This window comes from Homo sapiens, chromosome 4 (genome assembly GCF_000001405.40).
Source record: "Homo sapiens chromosome 4, GRCh38.p14 Primary Assembly".
NCBI lineage: Eukaryota > Metazoa > Chordata > Mammalia > Primates > Hominidae > Homo > Homo sapiens.
Window position 1 is genome coordinate 186146204 of NC_000004.12, and position 20675 is coordinate 186166878.

At 45.0% G+C, this 20675-nt stretch overlaps 1 protein-coding gene and 1 pseudogene across 6 annotated transcripts in view, besides 3 other annotated features; both read left to right on the top strand.

Moving 5' to 3' along the window:
* FAM149A (family with sequence similarity 149 member A) overlaps positions 1-20675 on the top strand; it is a 70634-nt gene that overhangs the window by 41500 nt on the left and 8459 nt on the right. For 3 of the 6 annotated variants that reach the window (NM_001395294.1, NM_001350178.1, NM_015398.4), the window contains exons 2-11: positions 2970-3080; positions 3363-3501; positions 5700-5842; positions 7442-7567; positions 8265-8435; positions 9797-9987; positions 11362-11516; positions 16642-16745; positions 17221-17430; positions 19141-19261. In NM_001395294.1, the coding sequence (NP_001382223.1) occupies positions 2970-3080; positions 3363-3501; positions 5700-5842; positions 7442-7567; positions 8265-8435; positions 9797-9987; positions 11362-11516; positions 16642-16745; positions 17221-17430; positions 19141-19261 (1471 nt within the window). The remainder of the gene's footprint in view (positions 1-2969; positions 3081-3362; positions 3502-5699; positions 5843-7441; positions 7568-8264; positions 8436-9796; positions 9988-11361; positions 11517-16641; positions 16746-17220; positions 17431-19140; positions 19262-20675) is intronic. The other 3 variants (NM_001367768.3, NM_001006655.3, NM_001350179.1) reach the window with 1 other exon arrangement.
* Positions 2517-3716: an enhancer, noted in NCBI's record as "MED14-independent group 3 enhancer chr4:187069874-187071073 (GRCh37/hg19 assembly coordinates)". NCBI's record gives its function as "activates an origin of replication core promoter dependent on BRD2, BRD4, P300/CBP and CDK7 cofactors, and independent of MED14, by STARR-seq in HCT116 cells {active_cell/tissue: HCT116}" and the evidence as "EXISTENCE:reporter gene assay evidence [ECO:0000049][PMID:35650434]".
* Positions 3735-3930: a silencer, noted in NCBI's record as "fragment chr4:187071092-187071287 (GRCh37/hg19 assembly coordinates)". NCBI's record gives its function as "represses an EF-1alpha promoter that drives an FKBP-Casp9 reporter gene in an ReSE screen in K562 erythroleukemia cells {active_cell/tissue: K562}" and the evidence as "EXISTENCE:reporter gene assay evidence [ECO:0000049][PMID:32094911]".
* On the top strand, positions 11619-12710 carry RPSAP70 (ribosomal protein SA pseudogene 70; annotated as a pseudogene).
* Positions 12280-12779: an enhancer, noted in NCBI's record as "H3K4me1 hESC enhancer chr4:187079637-187080136 (GRCh37/hg19 assembly coordinates)". NCBI's record gives its function as "activates a minimal SCP1, AML or CMV promoter by ChIP-STARR-seq in naive H9 embryonic stem cells {active_cell/tissue: H9 hESC(naive)}" and the evidence as "EXISTENCE:reporter gene assay evidence [ECO:0000049][PMID:30033119]".

The window sequence follows — 20675 nt, forward strand, 5'->3', positions numbered from 1 at the left end:
GTCAAGTTTGTATGTTATTACACTGAACTCTGAAGCTCAAGAAATTGCTTAAAAGGAGATACAGAGGGGAAGGTCAGAGAGGAAAAAAGAGGGAGAAATGGCATGGAGTAGGGGAGTTTTAAGGCACCTAATTCGTAATAATTGGTGTGACTGTTACCCAACTTCCCATTTCCCCCTGCCCTGCATCCCAAGACCTCCTGGGCTCAGCTCTGCGTCCAAGACAGTGGGAAGCCTGGTCCTGGAAAGGATGTGGTGTGATGTGAAGAGAGATGAGTTCCTCCGTTTTGTAAATAATTTTCTCCTTAATTTGAAAAGAGCTTCCACCCTTTCCCCTGAAAAAGAGTGAATTTCCTAGAGGAATAAATTATTCATTGAAACAAACTCGCATGCGTCCCATTTTGAATTTGGCTTCAAAGTTGCACAAAAGCAGGAGGAGGAGCTAGAAGCAGGATAGACCGTCTTGAGCAGAGCAGATGCTCCGTTTGGCGGTGAAAACCATTTGGGGGAATATCAGCTGCCCAAAGAAGAGCTGTGACTTTTTAACGAGTAAAACGTTATCCAATAGTGTCTTGAATCTGGGGAATATTTTCATGTCAGGTCACGATGTAATCCTATGTTTCAGGCATAAACATTCAGAGTAATTCTGTAGTGAAAATGAGTTCCGCATTTGAGTTGCTAATTTCGTCTTCGCCGTTTGAGTCTTTCAACCGAGGGCATCTTTTGTGTGACGAGTGTTATTTCAGGTGCTTAGCTTAAAAGATGAATAAGGTGTCAAGGTCACAACAAAAAGTTAAAATGTGAAAAGATCTATATAATACAAAATGCTATGGGAGGTCCAAAGAAACAAGAACACAGCATCTTCGTAGAGTAGCAGGTGATGATGATAATAGCAGTGAGAGGACAGTGCGGTGGCTCATGCCTATAGTCCCAGCAGTTTTGGAGGCCAAGGCAGGAGGATCACTTGAGCCCAAGAGTTCAAGACCAGCTTGGGCAATATAGTGAGACCCCATCTCTACAAAACATTAAAAAGTTAGCCAAGCATGGTGGTAGACACCTGTAGTCCCAGCTACTAGAGAGGCTGAAGGTGGGAGGATAACTTGAGGCCTGGAGGTCGAGCTTACAGTGAGCTGTGATCCTGCCACTGCACTCTAGCCTGTGGAGCAAAGCAAGACCCTGTGTCAAGTAATAATAATAACATAACAATAATAATAGCAGTGAGCAGGTAAACCCGATTTATGTAGCACTGACTGACACTTCATATACTTTATCTACAGATGTGGACACTGAATTCAGGAGAGGAAAAGTTAACTTGCTTAAAGCCTCAGTGGCAGAGCAAATTTGAACCCCCCATTATTATTCTGTAGATATGTATCACAAAAGAACAATGTTTTAGCTAATTCATCATGCTGAGTTTTAAAATTATTTCTCAGTCATATATTAACTCCTATACCAGTATGTTTTTCTTAGTGTTCAAAACAAATCTATTTGATGTAACTTTTAGTTGTTATTTTATGTCATTAGTATTTGTATGTTTACCTAAAAAGTTACTGAGTCACATGTAAACAAGAAATAATTAATGGCTTGAAAGCAACTGAAGAGGGCTAAAGGTAAAGCAGTTTGTCAGCATAAAGCGTGTCCTTTATTCTTTTCTCTGGGGCCCTTTCTTTAACATCTTTATCCTCAGAGTTACCTGGTTGTCCGTAAGATACCTAAGCAACAAAGAGAATAAAAACAATCATATAATTCTATTATTCTCTCTTGCATGAGACGTATCTATGGAAGGTAGATGTTCTCGCCAATCTGTACATGGTAATTACTTTGTTTTAAAAATTCTCTTTGTTGGCTGGGTGTGGTGGCTCATGCCTGTAATCCCAGCACTTTGGGAGGCCGAAGCGGGTAGATCACTTGAGGTTAGGAGTTCGAGACCAGCCTGGCTAACATGGTGAAACCCTGTCTCTACTAAAAATACAAAAATTAGCTGGGCGTGGTGGCAGGCGCCTGTAATCCCAGCTACTCAGGAGGCTGAGGCAGGAGAATTACTTGAACCTAGGAGGTGGAGGTTGCAGTGAGCTGAGATCAATTAGGTAGCCTTATAATCGAAAGCAAAAGCAAACTTTTTAAAAATGCATTTTAGAGTGGTGTTCTAACTAGAAATATTGAAAGTTGAAGTTTTTCCTGATTCATGACCATATCTTATGTTAATATATGTTTTATTTGTAAGGGAAAATAAGATTTCTATTGAAGAACAGAAGTTGTTGATTATTAAACATCAGGAAGATATTTTGACTAGAGGAAGTAAATGTTTTAAGCGGTTCATTGAAAGGACATTTCAATGATTAACAGGAACTGTGCTACACCAGTTAGGCTTAATAGTTTATTTAACATCTAGATATTTCTTCTGTTTTAGTTCTTCATTAAATTTTAATATCTTCTAACTCTTGAAAACTCAGTATACCCACAAACAGCAATGCTAGATTAAAGCAAGTTAGGTGTCTGTGTGGCTTCTGAGTCTAAAGAATTTGATGTTTCTTAATTAATATGGGATTAATGATTTTTTTACTGGAGGAGTGGTTGGGTTTTGTAAGTAAGTCCCTTGTCCCTGGTCAAGGGACAACTGGGACCTGAAATCCCTGAAATACTGTGAACTGTTTGGGGCAACTTTTCCTTCTCTGGCTGAGTCACAAAAAGTTGATGTTGTCTTCAGTTCACATAAAGGTACATATAGGTTAATGGCAACCTTGATTTTAAGAAAAAGAAAAATGATGACATCCTAAGTCTCAGTTTCATCAGGATGGGGTGTGTGTGTGTGTGTGTGTGTGTGTGTGTGTGCGCTCATGCACAGGTGGGTTTGGAGGGATGTGGCAGAACGAGAGGAGCAACTTTGTATAAAAGAGAAATTTTAAAAGTCTTAATGAATAAAACTATATTATTACATTAGGGAGACTCGTCATGTTTTATTTTATTTCCAGAAGAGGACTGTCAGAAGGACGTAGAAGGCACGGTTTTACTGTGAGGAGCAAAGATTCTTTACCTACGCATTTTACAAGAAATGTGCAGAAAGCCATTGATAAATATACCTGGTAAGAATTCACCTTGCTTCAGATTACAAAATCACAAAATGCCCGTAACAAATGTGGGAAGGAAGTTAGTGACTGGCCATGAATTTCTAAAAGTAAGATGCAGTTTTATTTTTAACCTAGTGTAAACATCACACTGTAAAAATATTTCAAAATTAGTATACTGTGAAATTAATAAATATATTTAATGAAAGAAAGAGGAAGCAGGCTCAGAAAAGTGAAGCCACTTAGCCATCCAAGCCCTTCCAGCAAATGTGATTTCTTTGCTCATGTTCATTCCTGCAGCAAATCCTTGTCATCCTTTTCCTCCAGCGGAAGCCATACACCCACGGGAGCCCACACCTCTTGGTCTGGGTCGGCCACACAGAGCTCTACCACCGGCTCATCCACGGAGAGGGGCTCCGTTTATTCCTGGAGAGATGACGTATGTCTCAGAATATTTTGGATAATCTTGTAATTACAGTTTATAGTGAAGAGTTGCTTCCTTATATTCAAAATTATTTTTACCAATTATAAAAGCATGACCTATTGCATACATACATGTACATACATGTAAAAGCATGTACATGTTACATGTGAAAATAATAGATCACGAACCGTGGAGGAAAACAGAACTCCCTCGTGACCTTCTGGCCCCGTCTTAGCTGCCCGCAGTTTTCTTGTTTCCACCCTGCAGCCGGCTCTCCGGGTGTGTGCTCCTTGTGACTTCTTGGATGGTATCCATGGCCGGAAATTCAGGACTTGAATAAGAAAGAAATGCTGGAAAAGTAAAAGCTGTGGCAGCCACTGTGATTAGAGAACTCCCCGCCAGTATTCCCAGTCGGATATTTCACCTTCACCCCCTACCGCTGGGGGCGCTGTTGCCTCTGAACTGCTTTTGTCTGTGTGAGCCTGGGATTCTGGCTGGGCGAGCTCTGCCTCCACTGCTCCAGCTTGCTCAGGAGCTCACTGGCTCCAGTCTCCTCCCTCCCCCTCCCTCCAAGGGTCTCCGTGGATCCCAGGACACAGCCCTCCTTTTTAAGGCCCACCTGGCTGCAGCACCTTGGGTGTTCTGTTTTACCTCGTTTATGCTGGGTGTTTTGTTGTTGTTGTTGTTGTTTTTTGCTTGCTTGCTTTCTCTCTCTCTCTGTCTCTTTTTTTTTTTTTTTTTTTTTTTTGAGACGGAGTCTCGCTCTGTCGCCCAGGCTGGAGTGCAGGGGCGCGATCTCGGCTCACTGCAAGCTCCGCCTCCCGGGTTCACGCCATTCTCCTGCCTCAGCCTCCCGAGTAGCTGGGACCACAGGCGCCCACCACCACGCCCGGCTAATTTTTTGTATTTTTAATAGAGACGGGGTTTCACCGTGTTAGCCAGGATGGTCTCGATCTCCTGACCTCGTGATCCGCCCGTCTCGGCCTCCCAAAGTGCTGGGATTACAGGCGTGAGCCACCGCGTCCGGCCTTTTCTCTCTTTTTTTTTTTTAAGACAGAGTCTTGCTCTGTCACTCAAGCTGAGGTGCAGTGGTGCCATGTCGGCTCACTGCAACCTCCGCCTACCAGGTTCAAGCAATACTCCTGTCTCAGCCTCCCGAGTAGCTGGGATTACAAGTGTGCACCGCCATGCCCAGTTAATTTTTGTATTTTTAGTAGAGACGGTGTTTCACCATGTTGGCCAGGCTGGTTTCGAACTCCTGACGTTGTGATCCGCCTGCCTGGGCCTCCCATGGCATGAGCCACTGCGCCCAGCCTCTTTGCTTTCTTTAAAAGTGGTTCCCCACTCCCACTGCACATGGGAATCCGCTTCTGTCCGCAGCTGTGCAGCTGTGATTCTCAGGGGAGCCGGCAGGGCAGGTGCACCGAGGGGGTCTGAAAGGGACTCAGCTCAGCACTGCTAGGAGGACCTTTCACGCACGCAGCTCCCTTACTTAGGGGCAGCTGCCTCCTTCCTCTCCCTTACGCCCACTCACCACCATCCCTCAAGCCCGCCTTCCTTGGTAGAAGGCTGAGCACCACTGCTTTACTCTGTCCAAATTCTAGGATTCTTTTAGTACAACGTTTAATGGAATTACCAGGGAAATTCGTATAACTTCCATTAATACTCAGGCCTCACCCTAATAACCACACTTCTTAGGATAACTAAGGATTTTTTTTTCCAGTTCATTGATTTAAGGAGATTAATGGCCTTTTCTACAAAAGTAATTTTCTTTTCTGTGGTATCACCAGAAGAAAAAAAAATCTTGTATTTTGCAGGTGTGCTTAGGTGTGTCAGGCACAGCTCTGTGAGGAGCTGCCTGTGTTTGCAGACATACAGATGTGGACGTGTCTGTGTGTCTACGCTGATGTCTGTGGCAGTATGAACACGTCCATCTATACCTCTATCTATGCAAATTCTTGAGTCTCATAACTTCCGTGGCAGAAGTTTTCTCTATTTAACAGTAAAAGAATCCGAGGCTCAGAATGAGATGGCATTTCTCAGAAAGGTAACAGCTAGAGCACAGGTGTGTCTGACTGCAAAGCCACCATCTTTTTACCAAGTGATGCACCCTCCTACATAGTGGGTGACAGTAAATGTATAAGTAGCGTTGATCCAGAAGCCCGCAGTTCTGTAACTTGCAGTGTTGTAACCAAGTGTGCATTTCTGTTTAGGAATTTGACGAAGCCAGTTCACAGTCAGTGCAGCGGTTACTCTGGGAGGTGGAGGAAATGTTATTTGAAGGGAAAGTGAACCCTCAGACCCAGAGTCTGCTGGCCGAATGCGGGGAGTGGACAAGAAGATCCCTCCATTTGAGGTGGGACCTTGGTGGTGGAAGTTCTCTGGGGTGGGTTTTCCAAGCACCCACCCCTGACCTGCCTCGATACATTCAGTACATTTGGTGTGAAAGTGCCTGCCCAGTCAGAATATGGATGCAGAGCGCAGTCCTTCACTGAGAGATCACTTTCCTCTTACGGCGTCTGAGGAAATACTGAGACATTCCAGTACTCAAGCGCCTTTTAATTTGTGAGAAGCAAATTCAGGCCATCCTGAGAAGGGCATGACACATATACGAATGCAAGAATGGTGGAGGCCACCTCTTACCTTCACATTCACTGTGTGTGAGCAGCACATGTCTGTCTTCATCACAGAACACAGCGAGGGTGGGCAGAGATGATTTGCTGAACGGCTGGATAGATGGGTCTTCCCATCTCACCCATTCCTTATGTAGGGAGGAGCATGTGTTACTTTTCATATCAAAGATGGAGAATATGGATTGGGTATGAAGGCAAGCTTTTCTTTTCTTTTTGCTTTTTTTTTTTTTTTTTTTTTTTGAGATGGAGTCTTGCTCTGTCGCCCAGGCTGGAGTGCAGTGGCGCGATCTCAGCTCACTGCAATCTCAGCCTCCTTGGTTCACGCCATCCTCCTGCCTCAGCCTCCCGAGTAGCTGGGACTACAGGCACCTGCCACCACGCCCGGCTAATTTTTTTTATTTTTAGTAGAGACGGGGTTTCACCGTGTTAGCCAGGATGGTCTTGATCTCCTGAACTCGTGATCCGCCCGCCTCAGCCTCCCAAAGTGCTGGGATTACAGGCATGAGCCACCGCGCCCGGCCAAAGGCAAGCTTATCTTTCAGTCACTCAGCCAACGTACTGGGGGACAGTTTATCAAAGTTACCTGAGTTCCTGTGGATTCTGTCTGGGGAGAATGAATCAGAACACTCATGTAAATGTGGCTGGATTTCCTGGTTACATTCACTAGGTAACTTTTACAGAAATCTTGACCAACTAGGGTTGTTTTTTTTTTTCTTTTCAACCCTTAATAAGCCACCTGCCCTAAAGAGTATGATATGTCCACTAGATACTAGTTGTGGATACTCACTTTTCTGGGGATGATCACTCACCAGAAATTCGGGAGCTCACACTTATTCTTGTCACTGCTGTCTTACATCATTGATAGAAATGGAGGGAAGGTGGGAAAAGATTGTCAGGTACATAAGCCAAGTGTGCATATTTATATATTTGTATTCTTGTTATGTTTGTGTTTAACTGTGTATTAGTTAATATGTATGGAGGGCTTCTTTGTGCCCAGTGTTGCCTTAGACACCTGAGTCTGTCATATATGATCTCTAAGCCATTCATCAGCCCTGCAAGGTAACCATTATTATCCTGTTTTGCAAATGAAAGACAAACAAATGAAATTAGCCTGAGAACCTTGCCTGAGACTGAGTCAGTGGAAGAACAGTCTGGCCTAAACTCTCAAAGTCACACTTCTGTGATGCGTGATGCTTCCCACGTTCCCATACACATCTTATCATACACATGCCTTCAAAATCATTGTCTCCTACTTTTAAAATCTCCAAACATTTTCCCTTTGTCTGATCAAAAATGTCAGTAGCTTCTCTTTGACCTCGCAGAGTATTAGGAAGACAGCTGATCCTGCCCACTGACAAAGGCGTCCAGCATTTCCAGGGCAGCACTCCTGCCTCCGCAGTCCACAGACCCCCGCTCAGTGCCTGCGGACACAGCAGCAACATCAGAGAGTATGTTCAGATAAGTGACTCTCAAAAAGTATTGTTAGCTGTATTTTAGTTATACTTTTTCATGTTTATCTCATCTATAAGCCTTGGCTCCACCCATTTTGGAAATTTAGATTCTGATGAAGGGCAGGTACAGAGAACAATTTTTATAAGAAGCTTTTGATTCTGAATTGATGATAGGTGTATATGTGTGTATATAGAGAGATGTGTAATATATATATGGAACACACATGCACACACATGGTAGTTACCTTCCATGTTTGTTCCAAAGGCGCTGTGAAAGGTGGACTGGGTGCAGGATGGAAACCGCCTCACTGTGATGGATTATAAGCCTCCAGGCGGTGGCAGCAGGAGAAATGAAGCTCTGTCCTGTCGTTTCTGTTCACTAGCAGATTTTGATGACTCTATGCCATTCACACATATTTGGTGTGCCGTGACACAATGCAGTCCTTTCACTGCAACCAAAGAGGGTACAAACTCATAGAATAATTTAGGCTTTTAAGAAGCCCTTAAAATGTTTAATGATGCCTGTATTAAAGTGTTTTTAAGGACGTGAGTTTTGTCCAATGTAATATTCAACCGTTTTGGGAGGGGGGGATTCTGTACTTTACAGATAATTGAAAGATCCGCCATGATCGTTTAAGCATTGCGTTCTTGGTGTTCTATAAACTCCCATGTAGAATCTGTTTTTTTCCCATAGGTTGTGCATTTCTGGCTCTCAAATAGTCCCAGCAGCACTCTCAGCCTCTGCCCTGCCAGGCCCTGATGACACAGGGGTTGCTGACCTAACGGCACGTTCATCCCTGGAAGAAGAGGTTTACCATGTGGATGGAAAGATTGAGGAGTATTTCGCTTTTGACAGAAAAGAGGAGTAAATAGAATCTTATTTGACATTGACCTCATAAAATAATATTAATTTATTTGACATTTATTGTTATCGTATGCTCATTAAGTGTTTTGTGTATTTTTTACTCACCCAAAAGATTTCTGTTCTTTTGAGAGTAATGTACTCCCCAGAGCTTTTGGATTCCTAGCCAGCGGTGCACGTGCGGGAGCAGCGAAGAGGGTGTTCAGTGCCCTTGTAAAAGCAGACAAGGCTCCTCGCAGCCCTGGTCCTGGGGGCTCCAGGTTCCCCAGCCCTGGCTGCCCAAAAGGGCCTAAGGGGAGTTCCTGCCTCTGTACTAAATTCGTATTTTGTTCTTTTTTTTTTTTTGAGACGGAGTCTCGCTCTGTCGCCCAGGCTAGAGTGCAGCCGTGCGAGCTCGGCTGACTGCAAACTCCGCCTCCCGGGTTCACGCCATTCTCCTCCCTCAGCCTCCCGAGTAGCTGGAACTGCAGGCGCCCACCACCACGCCCGGATAATTTTTTGAATTTTTTTTTAGTAGAGACGGGGTTTCACCGTGTTAGCCAGGATGGTGTCGATCTCCTGACCTCGTGATCCTTCTGCCTCGGCCTCCCAAAGTGCTGGGATTACAGGCGTGAGCCACTGTGCCCAGCCTTGTATTTTGTTCTTAATCAAAAACTACAACTATTACATGATAAAACTTTGCCCCGTGATTGAAAATTGGCACATTAAAAAGTAACACTGATAAAACAAGTCTTAACACATTTGAGAAGACTGAAATCAAGCATCTTTTCTGATCTCAGTGGTACAAAACTGAAAGTCAATAACAGGAAGAAAACTAGAAAACTCACAAATATGTGTAAACTAAACAACCTGCTCCTCAACAACCAGGCAGTAGGTCAAAGAAGAAACCTAAAGGGAAATCAAAAAATATAATGAGACAAATTAAAATGGAAACACAACATATTAAAACCAAACTTATGGGGTACAGTAGAAGCAGCTCTAAAAGGGAAGCCTATGGCAATAAATGCCTACATTGAGAAAAAAGACATATCTGAAATAAACAACCTAACTTTATACTTGAAGGAATGAGAAAAAGAACAAACTAAGCCCAAACTTAGTAGAAGGAAGGAAATAACAAAGCTCAGAGCCGAAATAAATGAAGAGACTAGAAAAAAAAAGAAAGATCAATGAAACCAGGAGTTGGTTTCTTGTTTTTATTCATGTGTAATGGAAAAAAATTATATATGTTAAAAAAGAACGATGCTGTTTAACAAAGAATGTTTATTAATATATGTATACATGTACATACGTGAATGTGTGTAGATAGAATTATTTTAACTCTAAGCATTGATCTTTTAGTAATTGGAGTGGGTTTTTATTCTTAGTGATGATGAATGTCTTGAACAAAAACCAGCTCAGCCCGGTAGGAAATGGCGCAAACTCGGACTTCCTCCTGTTTCCCCGCGTGACTGTGTCAAAGATGCCGTGGCAGCAGAAGTGTTTGATCACGTCTGGACAAATATGGTAGAACTTTTGGAAGAGCTGATTAGAAAACACTGGGAAACTACACTCACAGGTACTTACATGCAGAATTTAGCTTAATGAAAAGAAAAAGTCCCTGTTCTTCGGCCCTGGGCTCCTGCTCCCCAGCTTGGCCAGACCTAGAACGTGACCAGTGAGAAGACAAGTGGGTGTTCTGACTTTACTCATGAGTGCTCTTTAGTCCCTTCAAAAAGGACGCTATTGTTTTTTGTGTTATAAAAAATAATGCAGGGCTGGCTGGGTGCGGTGGCTCACGCCTGTAATCCCAGCACTTTGGGAGGCCGAGGCAGGTAGATCACCTGAGGTCAGGAGTTCAAGACCAGCCTGGCCAACATGATGAAAGCCTACCTCTACTAAAAATACAAAAATTAGCCGGGCGTGGTGGTATGTGCCTGTAATCCCAGCTACTCGGGAGGCTGAGGCAGGAGAATTGCTTGAACCCAGGAGGTGGAGATTGAGATTGCAGTGAGCAGAGATCACACCACTGCACTCCAGCCTAGGCAACAAGAGTAAAACTCCATCTCAAAAAAAAAGAATGCAGGGCAGGCATGGTGACTCAGAACTTTGGGAGACCAAGGCAGGAGAATTACTTGAACCCAGAGGTTCAAGGCCAGCTCAGCTTGGGCAACATAGTAACACCCTGTCTTTTCAAAAAATACAAATAAAAAGTTAGCCAGGCATGGTGGCACATGCCTGTAGGCCCAGCTACTCAGGAGGCTGAGATGGGAGGACCCCTTGAGCTCAGGAATTCAGTATTGAAAGTGAGCACTCCATCCTGGGCAACAAAGCGAGACCATCTCTCCCCCAAAAATAGCAGTGCATATGCAGTCTGGAAAACACACAGATACACAAGAACAAGGCTAGAAGTCATGTTTTTTGTTATAGTAAAAATAATTTACCTAACTACTCTCTAATAATGAGATATTTGTTTTTCATTGTTCGTGACATTATCTGTAATGTAAAATGTAAACATTGCTAATTGAATCATGCTTTAATCCTCTTACATACAAAATATTCTCTAAACTTAACATTGAACAAAAACAAATCATAAAAATGTCAGTGATGGACATTAATGACCAGTTTTATTAATCAATTTGTACAATAAGGCAATAATCACGTTAACCTAAATCCTGTTCTTTTTCCAGTATTTAAGGAATTAGTTGGGCTTTATCATGTGCTGAGAATCTGTATTGCCCACTGTGTGATCTGCTTCTCCAAGCCCTGCAACCACAGTTCCAGCAGCCAGTTGCTCCACAGGGGTCTCTGCCCTCCGTGGTAACATGTGGAGTGGCCGTAGCATGGGCTCGTGGTAGCTCAAGCACACATATTCTCTTTCAAGAGTGAATTTTAAGTATTTGTATTAGATAATCTGATGTTTCTTGTAATATTGATTCTTCTGTTGACACAGAAGGGAAAAAACAGAGAGAAACATTGAAAGTGGCTGGAAACAGATTTCCGCACGTCCTCGTTCCACACGCTCACGCCGATGGAGCCAGTGGCCCCCCGTCCGGACACGCCGAGGCTCACGGCATCTCCCTGGCTTCTCGTCTGAACCCGCCCCAGGTCGGTGCTTTCACACCCTTCTCCCTCTTGCCTTCACTCTGTGTGTCTGTCACCTCAGTTTGTCGTTCTGTTAAACTGCAGTACTGAGATATTTGGGGCTGCTTTCCACGCTGCCCGCAGAGGGGTCCATGCAGGCTTTCCATGGTAACTTAAAGGGAAACCTTCACAGTGTCACAATGCCTGGAGACCTGGACGTCCTGCCTATGAAGGACGAGGATGTGCTCAAGTTCCTTGCGGTAGGAGCCCACGCAGGCGGCACCACCCTTGGCTTCCAGATGGAGCAGTATATCCACAAAAGGACGGACCAGCGATGGCATCTCTGTCATAAATCTGAAGGGACCTGGGAGAAGCTGCTGCTGGCAGCTCGTGCCATTGTTGCTGTTGAACCCTGCTGAGGTCCCTGTCTTGCTCCAGGAACACTGGCCGGCAGGCTGTGCTGAAGCTCACTGCTGCCACCAGAGCCACTCCAGCTGCTGGCCGCTTCTCTCCTGGAACCTTCACTCGCCAGACCCAGGCAGCCTTCCGGGAGCCATGTCTGCTGGTCCCAGGCGACCACCAGCCTCTCAGAGAGGCGTCTTGGCTAGCCCACCTCCCATTGCTCTGTGGAACACAGATTCTCCTCTGTGCTGTGTGGAAGTCGCCATCCCGTGCAACAAGGGAGCTCACTCAGTGGGCCTGAAGGGGTGGCTGCTGGCTCAGGGAGTTCTGGGCATGCGTGACACCATCCCCCAGGAACACCCATGGGAGTCCACGCCTGACCTCTGCTTCTGCAGAGACCCTGAAGAGATTGAGGTGGAAGAGCAGCCTGCTGCTGATGCAGCTGTGGCCAAGGGGGAGTTTCAGGGGAACAGATTGCTCCAGTGCCTGCTGAGCATTGCCGCCCAGCCCGAGGCTGCAGACCCAGCCCCTGCACACACTGCCGCCCAGGTTGAGGGTGGAGACCCAGCCCCTGCACGCACTGCTGCTCAGCCTGAGGCTGCAGACTGCTCTGAAGGTGCAGGTACCCCCTGTGCCTATTCAGCCGTCCCTACTGCAGACTGGAGCACTCAGCCTGCCAGGCAAGCCTGTTCTGCAGCTCCCAATGCTCAGGCCCCTGAATGAGGAGGATCAACCACTGAGCGGTCTCAAGCTGTTCTTCCACAGGCCACCAGCAAGATGGAAATAAGGCCGATGGAAAATAAACATCAGTTTCTATTTAAAACAATGATATTCGGGTCTGTTTGCAATGTGATTATTTCATGAAGTTTAACAGAATTACCACATGGCACTGCTCTGAGATGTGAAGCTGTTTTCTACATTTTGGGAGATTAAAAAAATGCTTTCCCCTAATATTTCGAGCTAGTTTGAAAATTATAAATGTTCTCCTTTCTTTCCACCAAAGTGATAAAAGAACCAATGAGTATACATTGGGCTTACTCAGCATTTATTGGTTGTAGTTGAGGCGTTTTGAGGAGATACAGAGGTGAATCCTAGTGATACAAAAGCCGTGACACAGGGTCAGGTGCAATACATTCTGTGAGGGTCGCGCAAAAAAAAACAAAAACAAAAAAAACCTTGTAGAAGAATCAAAGAGAGAGTGATTTGTTCTGATTACAGGAGGGGGATTGGTCTTTTACATTGAAGGTAAAATTTGAGCAGGAATGAGCAAGGCTCTTGTGGGAGAGAACTCTGGGTGGGCCATTTCAGGCCAAGCAAAGGCGTGGATGAGTAAAAGATGGGGCCTGTTTGGGGACTGTGACTGGGCTGAGTTTAGGGGATAAGAAACTGGCAACTGCAGCATAGTGGCAAGAACAGGGGATTAGGAATCGAGAGGCCTGAGAGGAGTATTCTTCTGGATATGTTGTTTAGCTTTTCTGAACTTTAGTGTCCTTAGCTTATAATGAGATTATTATCTTGTCCAAGGGATTATTGTGAGGATAAAATCATAGAAATACCCAAGAGCTCCTACTACAGGGTCCAGCACATACTGAGCGCGTAATAAATTTTTCTTGAATTGCATTTTTATTGAGAGATGTGGTCGCAGGTGAGGCTGGAAAGGATACACTTGTTCACGCGAGGCCTGTAGTGGTGCCAAGGAGGTTGTTTCCACTGCCCACCTTGTGGGGGGAGCAGAGAACACGGGTAAGGCAGGAGTCCTAGTCCTGAGCTACACAGAATTTATAGTATAGTTGGAGGGAGCCCAGCCATGTCAAACAACACACACACACACACACCACACACAGACACACACCACACCACTCATACACACACCAAACACACCACACACACACACTGCACACATCCCCCCACACACCCCCCACACAAACACACACCCCACACAAACACACCACATACCATACACCACGCACACACCACACACCAAACACATACCACATACACACTACACACACCACGCACACACACCACACACCAAACACATACCACATACACACACTACACGCACACACACCACACACCAAACACATACCACATACACACACTACACACACACCACTCACCACACACACCACTCACCACACACACCACTCACACACACACTGCACACACCCGACACAAACACACCACACACCAAACACACACCCCACACAAACACACCACACACCAAACACACACCACACACAAACACACCACACACACAGAAAATACATACCACATACACACACACCACTCACACACACACTGCACACACCCCCCACATAAACACACCACACACCAAACATATATCCCACACAAACACACCACACACCATACACCACACACACACCACACACTATACAAACACATACCAAATACACACATACACACACACTACACACCACACGCACACCCCACACATGCACACATACCACACACACCACATATCATACACACACCACACACATACACCACATGCATACACAACCCACAACACACCACACATGTACACACCCCACACCTACACACCCCACACATACACACACACCTTCACACATACCACACACACTACCACACACCACACACACACCTCACCACACCCCACACACACCACACCACACCACACACACACCACATCACACCACACCACACACACACACACACACACATCTCCCCACATGGGAGACAGTCTAGCTGATAGCAGAGTGAAACTTGCGTATATAGACTACTAGTTCTGGGCTTGATGTCTGCATTTAATACTCCGTGATTGTAAATCAGTCCCTGTTTCTCAAAACCTCAATTTCCTGATTTATGAGGTAGGAAGCTGTGAGAATTAAAGGAGATAAAACATTTTGTGTAGTGTCTGGTGTAGAGTGGACGTTCAATAAGTGTTACCTTTTGTTATAATCAGATGCTAATTATATATTAATAGTCTATATAATCCTTTGTAATTAGATTTTTGTGTAATTTTTTAATTAGATGTAATGTTTTGTAATTATATATATTTTATAATGAGATGTGTTTTGGATCATAAGTCCTCTGGGAGTCAGAAGAAAAATATACTTTTCACAGAGTAGGGTAAGATATGAACCAAGCCCTAAATGACAGGTGTGATTCGTTAACATGAGAAAGGAAGGGAGGCTCTTCAAAGCAAAAGCAAAACTGCACCTGGCGTGGGAGCTTCTAAACCCGCGATCTTTGTGAGACTGAAGGGACACAGGCCTGAACAGAACCTGTGCTTCGGGGAGCAGTGGGGAGAACAGAGCGTCTCAGAGGCTTGTTTCACTCTCTAGTGTAAGTCTTCTGTGCCTTTTCTGTTCTAAAGAAACTTTTGGAATTGCTACCTGCTTATTGTATTTTTTTGGTCTCTTTAAACTGCTCTGACAAGTTCAATACAACATTTCCCACTTAAAAAAAATAGGCAGTATGAATATCACACAAAGAGCAGTGGATGAGCCTTTAAATATCAGGCAAAATAAACAGACCAGAAAAATATGGACATTCTAGAAGCTGAGGCATTTTTTAAATAGCTGTTTTGTTTTTATAATTACTTTGTTTGGATAAATGTTAAAAAAAAATAAGTGGACAGCAAAGTTAACAGAATAAAAATAGAGCCTGCTTTGAAATACTCAAGGTGTTCTAGTTCTAATTATGAAAGCTCTTAAGTTATTCCTCTACATATGATTGTGGTTGCCACATGTGCTCATGAACTAGAACAGAATTCCAGTCCCAGAAATCCTGTTCTCCTACATCTAAATATGGTTATTTGAAAAAATTTTTAATTTACTTTAAGTTCTGGGATACATGTGCAGAATGTGCAGGTTTGTTACACAGGTATACATGTGCCATGGTGGTTTGCTGCACCTGTCAGCCTGTCATCTAGGTAAATATTATTTTAAATCCTAGTTGGTCATATTGTGGGACTGAAGAGGGAGTTAAGAATTACTTAGCCCTTAGCTCACGCTTTCTGTCATCTCATTTAATTCTCTCAATAGCTCTGTGAAGTAGGTATGATTTTTCCCCAACATAAAGATGGGGCCATTAAAGCTCCAAGAACAAAGTAAGCTTTCCAGAATTACAAATCAGGAAGCAGTTAGAGCTGGGGTTCAGACTGATGCTTTCGAGGGTCCAGGCCATCTCACCGCTTCTGGGAAGAGAACCCAGGCAAGTGTGGAGAGGAGGAGAGGAGAGGTCCCAGGCAAGCAGGACAATGAGGAGCCATGATGCCCGGCCTGTGCTTCTCCCAGTTCTCTCTCTGCCTTCCTCACCCTGGAGTTACCAGAGGCTGATACACGTTGACCACACCAGTGCTCCCTTGCCCTCCAACCTCCGGGATCTCAGAGCATGGGGGGAGACTGAAGCACGGCTCTGCTTCCCTGCAGCCTCCCTGCCAGGTCACCCTGGGCTGGTGGCGTTCCTACCCCGTGCAGCTACCCTCTCCGGGTGCAGGAACCTCTCTCTCACTTCTGGCCACTTTGGGCCAGGTGTGCTCAATGTCCCCACTGTTAGGAGCCTTGGGGAATTAACCAATTCGTTGTTAATGTCTCAGCCCACATCTTTATAAAATATATCCCCTTTATTAGTTTTTCCTCCAGTTAGCTGGTGAGTGTGCCGGGTGTTTCCTGCTGATTTCGGACAAGCATCAGTCATTGGAACGGCACTGGGCATTTGTAATTCTTTTTTTTTTTTTTTTTTTTTTTACTGTTCTCAGATTCATCACTTCTCCAGCAGTTTTTATAGTGACATGAATGGTGTCATGACAATTCAAGCAAAACCGCTTCAGCGGAGACCTGCCTATTTTGCTGACAGAACGCAGTACGTATCAGAATCAGTAGTAGTTACCCAGCCTCTTCCCTGTGCTGCAAACACTGGAGCACTGAAGACTGCAGGGGACATGAGATCACGAAGGTCCCATTTAATCCCGTGCTTCAGATGTGCCTGAGCACGTCTGGAAGAGCAGAAACAGACCCTTTAGTACCAACCACAAAACAGTTACTATCGTGTATTTGGTAGGGAGAGATGGGGAAAGGGGAATGTAGTCCTGAAATTCTTAATCTTGTGGGCTTGACTGTTTGATTACTGACAGGGAAAACCTTAGCCCTCTGCCTGTGGATGATTCTTCATTGAAACAGAAACAGAAATGATGGGTCTTTTCATTCATTCAACCCGTGCTTAGGAGTATGTTCTAGGTGCCAGACTGTTCTAGGCAGTGCTCAACTAAGCACAGACAGGTGCGTTCCCTGTTATCACAGCACTCGCAGCTGAGTAGCTCACAGGATTTCCTTCCCAGGAATGAGAAGGAGGACAAAGCATCGGGTGGAGGGGCAGGTGCTCTCTCCTCCGCACCGCACAGACTGGGACGGGCCTCAGACACTCATGGATTATCACCTTCTGCAAAGAAAACACCAGTGCCCTGGAGGCTGCCTTCTCTTGCTTCAGATTCACAGAGACTAAAAACTCCCAACATCTATAGTGACGAAGTTCTTCGGGGAACAAAACTGTGAGTCTCATTTCTTTCATAGTAAACTAAAGGCCACGGAGGACCTAGATGCTTCTCAGTTAGGGTTTATGGATCATCCTGGACAAAGCATCCCTACCTAGTTTTACATAGATGCTTTTCTAATGAGTTCATTGAGCATTTAACATTCCGCTTGCTCCAGTGGTCTACTTAGCTGTATCCTAGGACACAAGGTCAGGCAATGTCCCTGTCACACAGGCGGAATGAGCCTCTGATGCTGGGGGACCTTGGGTGGATTTCAGTGGCCTCATCTGTGAAACAAATAATTAGCTAATGCCTTTCAATTACATAATTAATACTTTTCAAGGGGAGGTTTAAATAAAATAATGTATATAAAATGCTATAAAAATAAAAGGACTGTGTCCCTATCGGATTATCTTTAAGGATGCATTTTTCTCTATGTGGGAGTTTCAGCAAAGCTGTTGATTGCAGGATTCACATCCCGTCATGGCCTCGTTAGAAAGGTGCCTGTCTCTTGCCCTCCAGCTAACTTACCAGTATCGGCCAATACTTACATTGATAATAATAGCTAATGTTTATTGATCACTTTCTTTGTTATCAGCGCCAGGTAAATGAATTACATTTATGATCTTATTTATTCCCCACCACAAAACTTTATATTGTTGGGACTCATACTATCCCAAATCTGAGATGAGGGAACAGGCTAAGCCTGCCGGAGATCATCCCCGCCAGGAAGAGGCCCAGCCGGACACACCCACAAGTGCTCTCAGGCTTTAGAGACCACCCACTGGACCCCCGGCCTGCAGGGGAGCTGTTATCAGGAGCCGAGCTCAGGAGCGGGCGGCTGCCAACGCTTACCTGGCACCCAGACTTTTTCCAGATGCAGTCATAACCCCCCTTTCAGCTTTTTAATTGGTGACTGTTTCTTTCACAGTTTGGGACTGATGTTTCCAGCTGTGTTGGGTCTGCTGTGCTGATTCCTTCGAGATCCCTCTCCCTCCTCCGCCTCGCTTCCCCCCATGCCAGTCAGCAGCACACGGTGCCAGTCAGCAACACATGGCAGGCTTTCTCCTCCTGCCCCAGCCTACCTGGGCCCCCTGTCACACCTTCATCAAATAGAAACCCATTTATGTTTCCTACTGAGATACATTCAGATGCCACTAACTGTACAAATCCCTCTGTGTTCTGACCCCTCCCTCCCTGTGGGCTGCTGATTTTTCAGCTTTCTTTTTATTATTGCCACCCTGAGGAGCCCTTTTCGACCATTCTTCCCAATTGCTCTCCCTACACATGGAATTGTAGTCCCACAGACAGCCTGTTTGTCTGTGTGCATAGCTGTGCTCTACACATACGAGGGAAGCTGTGGCTTCAGAGGGGCCAGTGCCCACCCCCTTTGGTGATGCTACCTCACCTGTGTCCCCCGGCTTCTCACCCGCCTGGATTCTCACCTGCCAGCCTCACTTTCCCTCTGACCCCCCCACACACCAGCTCTGCGTCTTCTCACCTCCATCCTCTGTCTTTCACTTGTATTGAGATAACATTTTCCCATAGTTATCAGAGTGCTATAAGTTCCCTGGGGAGCATCCGGATAATACCACACATAGCAGAAATCAAAGACCTCCTGTGTGCCCCTCACGCAGAAACATTGAAATCACAGCTCTTGGCAGATTTCCTGTCACTTGCCAGTTATCCATGTACCTGGGTGCTCAGTGACATGATGATGTGTTGCAGGCCGACTGGCGTGGACCACATGGCTTCCCCACTGGTTCAAACGTCACGGAGCAGGTTCCCCCCGCTAGTCACGGAGACCAGGGGGCAGAATACAGCAGTTCCTGGATGCCGCCTTGTTTCTGTAAGACAGATTTCATTCTATTTCAGTGGACCATTTAGGTTCTGTATTGGAAAACAAACAAAAACAACCTTGGCACTTCCAAGTGAAATTAGTAACATGAGATCTGAGTAGCTGTATTCAAATGCCTTCATAATCTGTTTCCAGAAAGTAAATGAATGGCTTATGAGAATTTACAGGGAGTGAGAGGCTTAATTCACCGTTTTGTGAAATAAAAGCATGTCTTGAACTAAATCAGAAATTCCAGGTGTCAAGGAAATCTCTGATAGGATAGTGGAGCAAAGAAGAGAGCATGAAATTTGGTCAGGAGACAGGCAGGTCCGCGTGGATCCTGCCACAGAAACTCTCTTCTATGACTTGGTGCAAGTCACTTTAATCTCCCTGAGCCTTAGTGTTCTCTGTAAAAGGGGATTAATGATTCTTACCTCTAAAGAATTGTTAGAAGGACAAAATGAACTCATAGGTGTTAAATGATTCCTGACGTGAAATTATGAGCTCAGTAAATTAGGACCCTGGTCATTTCTATCGGTCATTTTTACAGCTAACCTTTGCTATGTCTATTGCAGTGGAGGGCAATACCTTCTGCAGTCAGACTCGCCTCGGCCAGGCAGTCAGGTCTGCGGGGGGTGTGCTGTGGCCAGCATGCATATCCAGGCAGCCCCCAGGTTTACAGCCACCCCTCACTCCACTTCACACAAGTAACTTGTCTCTATTCATTTTATACAACACAGAAGGACCCCTGTTGTAGGAACATAAAGACATAGTGAGAGAAAAACCCTACCTGGGGCCAGGTTCCCTCCTGCATGCCCTGTGCCACCTTGAGCCCAGCACTGGAACCCATTCCCAGAAGGCAAGAGTTGCAAAGTGTTCATGTTTAACCTTAGAATAACATCATTTTACAAAAGGCAGCGGAGTGCAGTGGCTCACGCCTGTAATCCCAGCACTTTGGGAGGCTGAGGTGGGTGGATCACGAGGGCAAGAGTTCGAGACCAGCCTGGCCAACATAGTGAAACCTCATCTCTACTAAAAATACAAAAAAATTACCTGGATGTGGTGGCACGTGCCTGTAATCCTCACTACTCGGGAGACTGAGGCAGGAGAATCGCTTGAACCCTGGAGGCCAAGGTTGCAGTGAGCCGCGATCACGCCATTGCACTCCAGCCTGGGTGACAGAGCGAGACTCTGTTTAAAAAAAAAAAAAAAAAAAAAAAGGCAAACATCACATTAAAAAGTCTGCTACTTCACAAATGCAGAATTACATTTTCTTAAGGTTTTTTTTATCTCTCTTTCCCTATTATGACACTATAATTTTATCAGGCTTAATAGTGCAGTTACATAATCAAAATATATTTCTTCAGGTATTTATCCTTAGGAGACCTGATCCTTAGTAATGTCTAACTAAAAGTTTCCAAATAGA